The sequence below is a fragment of the Homo sapiens genome, chromosome 1, assembly GCF_000001405.40.
Source record: "Homo sapiens chromosome 1, GRCh38.p14 Primary Assembly".
Classification (NCBI taxonomy): domain Eukaryota; kingdom Metazoa; phylum Chordata; class Mammalia; order Primates; family Hominidae; genus Homo; species Homo sapiens.
In genome coordinates this window covers 80,383,069-80,394,523 of record NC_000001.11, presented here as the reverse complement: position 1 = coordinate 80,394,523, position 11,455 = coordinate 80,383,069, and the positions used below count along the sequence as shown (strand labels likewise).

At 34.1% G+C, this 11,455-nt stretch overlaps 1 annotated feature.

The window, feature by feature from the left end:
- Positions 8,423–8,952: an enhancer, noted in NCBI's record as "NANOG hESC enhancer chr1:80851257-80851786 (GRCh37/hg19 assembly coordinates)". NCBI's record gives its function as "activates a minimal SCP1, AML or CMV promoter by ChIP-STARR-seq in primed H9 embryonic stem cells {active_cell/tissue: H9 hESC(primed)}" and the evidence as "EXISTENCE:reporter gene assay evidence [ECO:0000049][PMID:30033119]".

The following is an 11,455-nucleotide window of genomic DNA, read 5'->3' as shown; positions in this document are numbered from 1 at the left end:
GGGGACTGTGGTGGGGTGGGTGGAGGGGGGAGGGATAGCATTGGGAGATATACCTAATGCTAGATGACGAGTTAGTGGGTGCAGCACATCAGCATGTCACATGTATACATATGTAACTAACCTGCACATTGTGCACATGTACCCTAAAACTTAAAGTATAATAATAAAAAAAAAAAGAAAGCAAGCATGCTGACCAACTTAAAAGGAAAAATTGACCTGTTTGCGTGACAATACCTTTAGGTATAATTTCACTTACTTGATATTATTGAATATATTCAATTTAACCAAAATTTACTAAGCAATAGAGAAATACCTAGAAATCTGACATGCTTTGCTGCAGATAAGCTGAAGATGCCAAAGGATAAAAAAGACATATATATATATATGTTTATATATATGTGTATATATACAATTTTTATACATACAACTTCCTAATGGGGTAGTAAATATTAAGTGAAGCCATAAAAAAGAGAAAGTAATGAGACCAAAATAAAACCCATGGCACCATTTTATTTTCTGTCAGGTAAAACCAAATGTGAATGTGATTGTGTGACCTGCTAGATACAATTTTTTATGACATATAATACCTTGTTGTTCCAATATTAATTAATTTTCTCTTTTGTGCTTTAAAAATACTTACATATTATGTCAATTCTAGAGCCAGGTAAATATTAGCACCCATCTTGAACCCTTGTTCAGTATGTTATAGTCAGCTCAGGCTACAGTAAGAGAATACCACAGACTGGGTGGCTTAAACAATAGGGATTTATTTTCTTACAGTTCTGTAGGCTGGAAGTCCAAGATCAAGGTAACATCGGGGTCGATGTCTGCTGAGGCCCCTCTTCCTGGCTTGCAGCTGGCTACCTTTTTGCTACATGGCCTTTCTTCTGTGTGTACAGGAAGAGAGAGAGAGAGACAGAGATTCGGTGTCTCTTCCTCTTCCTAAAGGGAGAGCTGTCCTATCAGATTAGGACCCCATCCTTATGATCTTAATCACCTCCTAATGATCCTGTCTCCAAATATAGTCACATTGGGGGTTGGGGATTCAATATATGGATATGAGAAGGGACACAATTCAGTCCATAACATCCAGGTCTAAAAGGATTATTGGAATAAAACAAATTGGAATGAATAATATTCAACTGTCATGGTCATTTGCTACATTATTATTCCTTCAAAATACTACATATTATTTATCTTTATCAATGTAAAGAACATGAAAATTAAGAGATTATTTCAAATGCCTGATTATTTATACTCTAAAACATTAGAAATGACATATAAAATATGAATTTTTTAAATGTAGGTTCATGGGAATCTGTACAATAATAAGTAGATTTAGCAGACCACTGATTTTAGTACCAATGAAGACAAAAAGCAAATTGGAATAGATGCATAGATAAAAGCACATGCTGATGAAATGAAACACAACTTCAGGTAGGAGGAGAAGGATGGTGCTTTTAGGGGGACTACCCCCAGAGAATTGGTACCAGTCTGCCCTCTTTACATCATAGCTTGTGTGCAACAGTAGGCAGGGCAGTAAAAGTATTTTACTAAGAGGATGCATTTGCATATGTAAGCATTTAAGCTAGAAATGAAAAGGTGTACACCCAGTAGCTAACGACATTTTAAAAGAGTAGGAGATTTCTACAACTTCAAGATTATTGCACTCAACCCAGGAGCACTTATGCCTTTCCTTTAAATCACTGTAAACGTTATCCTATAAGCAGGGCTGGCATCCCTAGGTATACTTAAATAGGTTTCTCAACACAGAAAGTGGGTGTGCAAGCATGAGTCACTAAAACAAATGTTACAAAATGTACCCTAGGAAAATGAAAAACAATGAATCAGAGAAAGAAAATAAAGATAATTATCAGTACACAAAGAGTCCAGTAAAACTTACAGTTAAATCCAAACACTTGTTGGCAAATAATATTAAACAATTGAAACAATATGAAAAAGAAATACTAGATATTATCGACATGGAAGTGTTGTGACAAGAGAAAGAGGAAATTGGAAGCTGTTTCCAAGATGTATGTAGCTAGTGATATAATAAACTCAAATAGTAATAAAACATGTTTAAATAAATGTGTTAAATATTTAAGGATGATCATCAGAAGAAATTATGTGCATATAATATACACACACATACACACATGCACACACACATATCTCAAACTCCTAGAATAAAAAAATTAAATAATTAAAAATAGAATAAATAAACCCTAATTAATTATATCATTAATATCAAAAAATATAGAGTGAAAAAACTATTTGAAATGACAGAGAGTCCTGGATCATATGTGGCAGTTAACGAGATATTATCAATAGCAAACACAACCAAAGTTCAAATCCAATCATATGCTACCTACAAGAGATACACCTAAACATACACAAAATATTGTAATGAAAGATAAGAAAAAGTACTTATCAGAGACAAACAATAACAAAGCACACAAAGAATTATTCATATCAGGTAAAATAGAAATCAAGGTGAAATTTTGCATACTCTCACGTATTTAGTCATTACTTTTGATTTCTCTCTTTATTTCAATGTTTTCATCTGGGGTGATTTTATTTCTACCTAAAAAATGACATGTATGTATGTATGTATGTATGTATGTATGTATTTATTTATTTATTTATTTATTTATTTATTTATTTATTTTTAGTGCTGGTAAGTTGGTGGCCCATTTTCTCAGCTTTTACTTATATCAAAGTCCTTACTTTGCCTTTATCTTGAAGAGTATTTTTGTTGGGTACAGAAATTTTAGTTGGCAGTTATTTTCTTTCAATATATACAGGACTCATTGCATTATTTTCTGGCTTCTGTTATTGTTGATAAGTAACCTTTTAATCATATTGTTGCTCCTTTGAAAGTAATGTGTAATTTTTTTCTTCCTTTCATTAATTTTCTCCTTTTTTAAAGTTTAAGAAGTTTTGTCATTATATGTCTAGATGTTATTTTATTTGCATTTATACTGTTGAGGTTTATAGAGCTTCTATGATTTGTACTGTAATGTCATCATCGGGTTTTGACACTCATGGACATTATTTGATGCAATAATGCCTGTTATTTGACACTCTTGGGCATTATTACTTAAAATATTGTTTCAGTCCCATTCAAAAATGGATTTCAATTGTTCATATGGTAGACTTTTTGAGAATGCCTTAAAGTGTCACTTAGGCTCTTACTACTTTAAAATTTTCTCTTTTAAAATTTATTTTTCTCCTCTCGACTTCAATTTGGATATTCTCTATTGAACTGTCTTCCAGTTAACTGTTCTTTTGCTGTGCCTAATCTGGTGTTAAATCCTTTTTTTTCAATTCTTAATGTAGTATTTTATATTTTTTAGCTCTAGAAATTCCAATTTATTTTTTTCTAGATGTTGTTCTATCATTAAATTTATATTATTTTCCTATTTTCATACACACATACACATGCACACAGAAACATATACATGCACACCATATTTCTCTAGTCTTATTTCTTGGCTCTTGGCTCTTTTGGTATTTTAAAAATTATTTTAAAGTGACACATAATTGTACGTATTTATGGGGTAGAATATATTTCAATACATGTATACAATGTGTAGTGCTCAAATCAAGGTAATTAGATTATCCATGTTCTCAAACATTTATCATTCTGTTGGGAACATAAAAAATCCTTCCTTCTAGCTATTTGAAAATATACAATAAATTATTGTTAACTATAATCATCCTATATTGCCATATACTAGCACCTACTCTTCCTATCCTACTTGTATATGCATTAACCAACTTCTCTCTATCTCCCCTTGCCCCTACCTTTCCCATCCTCTAGTAACCATGAGTCTGTTCTCTGAGAGCAATATTTTTAGCTTCTCCCTATGATTGAGAACATGCGGTATTTATCTTTCCATGCCTTGCTTATTTCACTTAATATAATGTTCTCTAGGCTCATGCATGTTGCCACGAATAATAGGATTTAATTCTTGTGGTGGAATAGCATTTTATTATGTATATGTGTATATATATATACATTTCATTTTCTTTATTCATTGTTGATGAAGACTTAGGTTGATTCTGTCTCTTGGCTATTGTAAATAGTGCTGAAATAAACATGGGAGTATGTTTATCTCTTTCACATACTGATTTGCTTTCCTTTGGATATATACCCAGTTGTGGGATTGTTGGATCATATGGCAGTTCTATTTTTAGTTTTTTGAGGAACCTCCATATTATTTTCTATAATTGCTGTACTAGTTTACATTCTCGACAGTGTATGAGTTCCTCTTTCTCCACATGCTCACCAGCACTTGTTAATTTTTGGTCTTTTTGATAACAGCCTTTCTAACAAGGGTGAGATGATGTCTCAATGTGGTCATGATTTGCATTTCCCTGATAATTAATTATTTTGAGCATTTCTTCATATGCTTGGCCTTTTGTATATCTTCTTTTGAGAAATGTCTGTTAGATCATTTGCCCACTTGCTAATCAGATTATTTGTTTTTTTCGCACTTGATTTGTTGGAGTTCCTTATATATTCTAGAATTTTTTCCCTTATCAGATAAATAATTTACATACATTTTCTCCCATTCTGCAAATTGTCTCTTCACTATTTTGATGAATTTCTTTGCTGTGCAGAAGCTGTTTAGCTTGATAGAATCTCATTTGTCTATATTTGCTTTTGTTGTCTGTGCTTTTGAGATTTTATCCATAAATCTTTTGTCAGACCAATATCCTGAAACATTTCCCTTATGTTTTCTTCCAATACTTTCACGGTTTCAGGTCTCACATTCAAGTCTTTAATTCATCTTGAGTTTATTTTTGTATGAGAGATAGGGGTGTAAGGGAGAGGGGGTGATTTTGGTGAGAGATAGGGGTCTAGTTTCATCTGCATACAGATATTGAGTTTTTCCAACACTATTTATTGAAGAGACTATTGTTTTCTCAATGTATGTTCTTGGCTTCTTTGATGAAAATTAGTTGACTGTAAATATGTGGATTTGTTTCTGGGTTCTCTATTCTGCTCCATTGGTCTATGTGTCTGTTTTTATGCCAGTACCATGCTGTTTTGTTTACTATAGCTTTGTAGTGTATTTGGAAGACAACTAGTGTGATGTCTCCAGCTTTGCTCTTTTTGCTCAGGATTATTTTGGCTACTCTGGGTCTTTTTTGGTTCCATATAAATTTTAGTTCCATAGAAATTTTAGTATAAGTTTCTCTATTTCTGTGGAAAATGTTGGTATTTCAGTAGGGATAGCACTGAATCTGTACAACTGTTTTAGTAGTATAATCATTTTGACAATATTAATTCCTCCAGTCCATAAATATGGGAGGTCTTTTCACTTTTCACTTTGCCACTTTTTAAAAAAGTGTTTTATAGCTTTTATTGTAGAGACCTGTCACCTCTTTGGTTAAATTTCTTCCTAGGTATTTAATTTTTGGCAGCTATTGTAAATGGGATTGGTTTCTTCATTTCTTTTTCAGCTGGTGTTGCCTGAGAATCTACGAAATTTTGTATGTTGATTTTGCATTTTGCAACTTTTCTTCTTGTAATTTTTAAATTAAATTTTGGATATTATATATAAAAACTACAGAGAATCCAGATAATATCATTTTTCTCTAGAGAGTTTTTACCTTTTCTACTACTAGGCAGGTTAAGGGCTAATCACCTGAAACCAATCAGAGACTGAGCTGAGGTAAAGCTGGGTTGTGGTTGGGTTTTGATAAGGTCCCATTTAACTCTGGCTTGCATGCACTCTCAGGTCATAGTTATTCAGGGCATTCAGCTGAGAACCTTATGTATTCACTGGAGCTCCTCACTTGGATGCTTTTAAACTCTAATTTAAATCTTCTTAGAAGGGAAACAGTTTTTCTGATTAGCTTCTTGTCCTGTTGTCTCTCTGGTGATGGATTTTGAAAAATGTCTTTTTTAAAAAGCCACCTGTGTGTCAAGCTCAGTGTTCTGTCTCACCATTCTCACTGGCATTTTGACCTTTAAATTTCCATTTTGTATTATTAGCCCTGAAAGATCACCATCTATTGTTGGTTTTTCCCCTGTCCCAGAGTGGTTGTTTACCCATGCAAACCCATATTGTCAGATTTTTAACCTGCACTTTGAATTGGCAATGTCCCAGAGGAAAATGCAGCTACAGAAGCTCAGTACAACTTGTTCAGTCTCTTCTCCTCTGGATCTTGGCCCCTCTAATCCTTATTTTTTCCCAGCAGCAATGCTTTCTGCATTTTTATTGGATTACTTATTTTCCTCAGTTGGAAACTTTGTATAATACAAACTCCTCTATCTTTTCTGGAAGTTGATCTTCTTGAACCAGTTTTTTTTTTAAGTCTATATAAAGAAATACTTGTTAATGTCTACTGGGTTGTATGATATTTTATTTGTTCCTCACAATAAAGATTCAGAGTATGTCTAGTCTTTCCCATTTTTAATGTATGAAATTACTCATTTACAGTTTCTAAGAAGTAGATAACAACATCTTGCTTTAAAAAGAAAATCTTTGTGCTTTTACTACCATATTACATTTTCTGATGCTGATGAAAGTGTGGAAAAGCTAGAACACCTTCAGAGGCTTTAAGTCAGAGAAATTTGTGACCCTCTAAAAAATGTGGACTTGCCCCTTGGGATAATTCTGTGGTGCCACTCTTTGTACTGTCTGTACAGGTAAATATGCTGGAGTTGTAATGGTCAACCAGCCTTGGAAAAAAATTTTGTAGAAAATAAATTTTCATAATGGTATTACACCTAACATGGATTGAGAATTATTTATGTGCCAAATTCTTTTTTTTTAATTTTTAAAACTTTTTTGAGACAGGGTCTTGATCTGTCACCAAGACTGGGGTGCAGTGGTACAATCTTGGCTCATTGCAACCTCTGCCTCCTGGGTTCAAGCGATTCTTCTGCCTCAGCCTCCTAAGGAGCTGGGATTACAGGCATGCGCCACCACGCCCAGTTAATTTTTGTCTTTTTTTATGGAGATGAGGTTTCACCATGTTGGTCAGGCTGGTCTCGAACTCCTGACCTCAAGTGATCCACCCACCTTAGCCTCCCAAAGTGCTGGGATTACAGGTGTAAGACACTGCGCCCAGCCTTATGTGCCAAATTCTTAAATGTGTATTAACATGTTTAAAGCTTTCAGCTACCCTGTGGCCCTACGCTCCCTTTTTATTCCCATTTTACTTATGTTGAAACCAAAACTCAAAGAAAATGGTAACTTAGCCAAGGCCTCATAAGATAGTAAGTAAGTAAGGAATGGTTTAGCTCCAAAGCCCAACATTATGCATTAAATATACTGCCTCACTGGAAGATTACTTGAACCCAGGAGTTTGAGTCCAGCCTGGGCAACAGAGCAAGTCCTATCTCTAAAAACAAACAAACAAACAAACAAACAAAAAAACAGATGAAAAGTGCTGGGCGCAGTGGCTCATGCCTGTAATCCCAGCACTTTGGGAGGCCAGGGTGGGTGGATCACCTGAGGTTGAAAGTTTGAGACCACCCTCACCAACATGGAGAAACCCGTCTCTACTAAAAATATAAAAATTAGCCGGGTATGGTGGCAGGCGCCTGTGGTCCCAGCTACTTGGGAGGCTGAGACAGGAGAATTGCTTGAACCCAGGAGGCAGAGGTGTGGCCCGCTGTGATCGTGCTATTGCACTCCAGCCTGGGCAACAAGAGCGAAAATTCATCTCAAAACAAAACAAAACACACAAACAAAAAACAGATAAAAAAGTAAAAATTGGCTGGGTGCTGTGGCTCACGCCTGTAATCCCAGTTCTTTGGGAGGCTGAGGCGGGCGGATCACTTGAGGTCAGGAATTAGAGACCAGCTGTCCAACACGGCAAAAACCCATCTCTACTAGAAATATAAAAATTAGCTAGGCATGGTAGCGGGCACTTGAAATCCCAGCTACTTGGGAGGCTGAGGCAGGAGATTCGATTGAACCAGGGAGGCAGAGGTTGCAGTGAGTAGAGATCGCACCACTGCACTCCAGCCTGAGCGACAGAGAGACTCCGTCTCGAAAAGTAAAAATAAAAATAAAAATAAAAATTATATTCTGCCTCAAAAGTGAGAAGCCATTTTCCTTCTCTTGCTTGAGAAGCTAAAATACCCCAATTTAGAGAGGAGAACTAGAAGACAAATTTTTATTGGAATCTTGCAGTGACTAAATCCCAAAAAATTTTATATCTGGAAATGCATATTAGGAAATTATTAATTAACATTTTATTCTCTTCTTTGTTTCACATTATTAATTTCAAAGTATTTATTTCAAAAATACAATGTACTCTGTACATTTGAGTGTAAAAATATTGTTGGACACTATATGTAAAGATTTTTATATCAATTTGTAAGAAACTAATATATATTATAGAATACAACTCTAAAGTGATAGAAAAATGGTCTATTTATTGCCGATATATTTCAGTTTTCTATGATTGTTACTATTATGAGCAGCTTACAATGAATTCATTATCTTGTGAGAGAAAATAATTCTATTCCAAAGAACTCCTCTGAGGTACAACAAATTAGAATTATAGAAAAAGACCTAGTATATTAGAGACAGTTATAACTGCCCCTTTTCATTTTCATTAAAAATGAAGCTCTGCAGCAGATGGGCTTCAAAGATATTTTAAAGATTTAAGTGCTAATGCATGAGAGAATTCCAATGCAAACAGTTCCTTTAAAGTACTTTAGTGCATGCTGGGCTGTGGGAGGGACCTGGAGAGGCCTCTTAATCTTGCTTAGATCTTTTCATTAATAGAGTGTTATAAAATTACCTTCAGCATGATGAGAAAGACAGTCTTACTGGGAGAAGCTTGGCTTCTTCCTGAATTATCTCCCCCTCAACTAAAGTTTAGTAAACCATTCTAAATAAAGAAACAACTCCAGCTGCAATGGATGAGTTTCAGTTTGGGATTATTTTATTAAATATTGAATATTTTATTTTTTGAAAGCATATGGCATACAAATGTTGAGAATTTCCAAAAAAAGCTAACTTTTCAGTAGCATAGAATTTCATGTTTTAAGTACATAAGCGATCAGTTAAGTAATTAAAATGGAAACGTGTTGTTTGAATTTCAGATGAGATTGGACGGGTTCAGGGTGGTATGGCCATAGATGTGTTGTTGGAATCTCAGAGTGCAGTTGAATCACCACAAAGTTTCAGTCTACATAAATGTCTATAGGAAAGTCAATACAAGCTCACCTCACCATAGTCATATTAAGAATCACAGTGGTTCCAATTATGAGGTCATTAAAGTTAGTAATTGCATTAAAGTATTACATGTGACACAAGCTTATGGGCATTCTACATGCTACACAAAGAAAAGGCCTAGAGGAGGAAGCATTTAGGTCACAAATTAGCTGATTCAGCAAAACTAAAGAAACTGCCAAAGAAAAAAGGAAAAATTCTACCCTAGAATTGTCCATTAGTTCTGTAATAAAATTCCACTTTACTTTCACCAGCAGAATTCAGCCTTACCTTTTTTAGTTATGTAAAATATTGCAAAATAATTTTATGTTAATTTTTTCCTAAGATGACAATTTATATATAAGAATTAGATTTTTAGATAATGCTATCTTCTATTTTTCTATAATTTTTTTTACTCTTACCTACCATTACACAGTTTTTAGGTATAGAAAAATCGAATGATAAGAAATGGCAATAAACAATATAGTGTTCATTTTACAGGGAAATAAACATTCTTCTGGTTTTCTCTTTCATTTCTAGTTCATCAAACTTTATAATAGAGAAAAGATATCCTCTTAGTTATTACCCAGGTCTCAGTTACCAATGTGGAGGCCAGAAAAAGTATGTTTGTTATCTTATTAGGAAAATCCCTCACTCTATTCATGCATACAAGGATGACCAGAATGGTGAAACGAATTCCATCCTGGGCTCAGCTACTAACAAGATAACTTTGTATGAGTAACACAATTTCAATGAATCATCTCTTCATATCTGCAATATGAGGATAATAATATGTATACTGCAATATATTTGATGAGACAAAGTTAATGACATTTTGAGGTAATTTTTACATAATAAAGTCCTGTACAACTGTTAGTAACTATTACACCATTGCTACTATAAAGGCTTTGCTCATATTGGGTCATGGGAAGCTATTTTCTTTTCCTCTCTAGTTTACAGCTAGACAACTTTACTCCCTTTCACTTTATTTTATAGGGTAGGGAGTCCAGCTGTGAAAGCCTACACTAAATTAGATGACTAGAAAAACAAAGATCTGAATGAAGTTCTCATTCCATTGTTGCCATCCACCCAAGTTATCCCCACCATCACCCTATATGTATCACAAGAGTTTTACTTGGTGAAGTATACCATAAATCAAATTGAGGATTTACAAGAAGACTTTTTATTTCAAAGATTTAAACATAGATTGAATGCTTGAATAAATATTGGACCATTTTAATAAAATACTAGCTTAACTCAAGTACCATTAAATAGTAGAAAACCAATAAATAAACCAGCATTCCAATCCAGACATATTATTAAGGGAGGAAGCAATCAGATGTGTAAAGAAGGCCTACATTATAAGAGGAGAACTCTTACAAGCCAAATGTTATAATTTTTATTTGGCCTTTGTATAGCACAATATGTTCTAAGGTACTTTGTAATCCTTAATTAGAAAAGCTTCATTTAACCCAAGTATTTTTGTTTCTTCTAATGTATAATGATGTATACAATTTTAAATGCTCTTGCATTGATCTCTAATGGCCTCAAATGAATAATTTCCATTTGATTTTTATGATTTCTTTGAATATCAATAGTGTCCCTAAAGTAAAACGGCAATACACTTTGGTATTATTTTTTTCATGTGCTGATTTTTTTTTGCCTGATGTAAATTGGAATCTTGGAATTCTTTCAACATTTTGATCATCTTCTAGATAGGTTGCCATTCCTAATACTTTATGAGGGAAGCTTGATATCAACTAACTTCAGATATTTCCTTCAATATAGTTTTACCTTGTTTTGGGATCTTGTTAGATGTTGGGGACTGACAAGTGAGTAAATAAAACAGCGCACAGAGCCCCCAAAGCATCAACAAATCTTTACTGAGGGTATCTTCTGAGCACTTACGAAGTAGGAAGTTTTCTGGCTTCTGCTCTGGAGGTGGTTATCACCTGAAAGCACAAATGATTTCGTTGGAGATCTAGACAGTGTGAATTAAAGAGCAATGTAAAGAAAACTGGTGTTGGAATCTGTAAACCTAGTTTAGAATCTTCACTACACCTGTTACTGGCTATCTGATATTGGTAAATTATGTAATCTCTCTAAACATAAATTTCCACAGAATAAAAGCTAGCATTATTAATGAATGACTCTGAGTACAATTAACACTTTTTGTCTTAATCATACATACGTTTGTCACATACCCTGTGACAGAGGAAATCATCTATTCACTCTGTTTCCCTATCAGTAAAATGCTATGAGTTCCC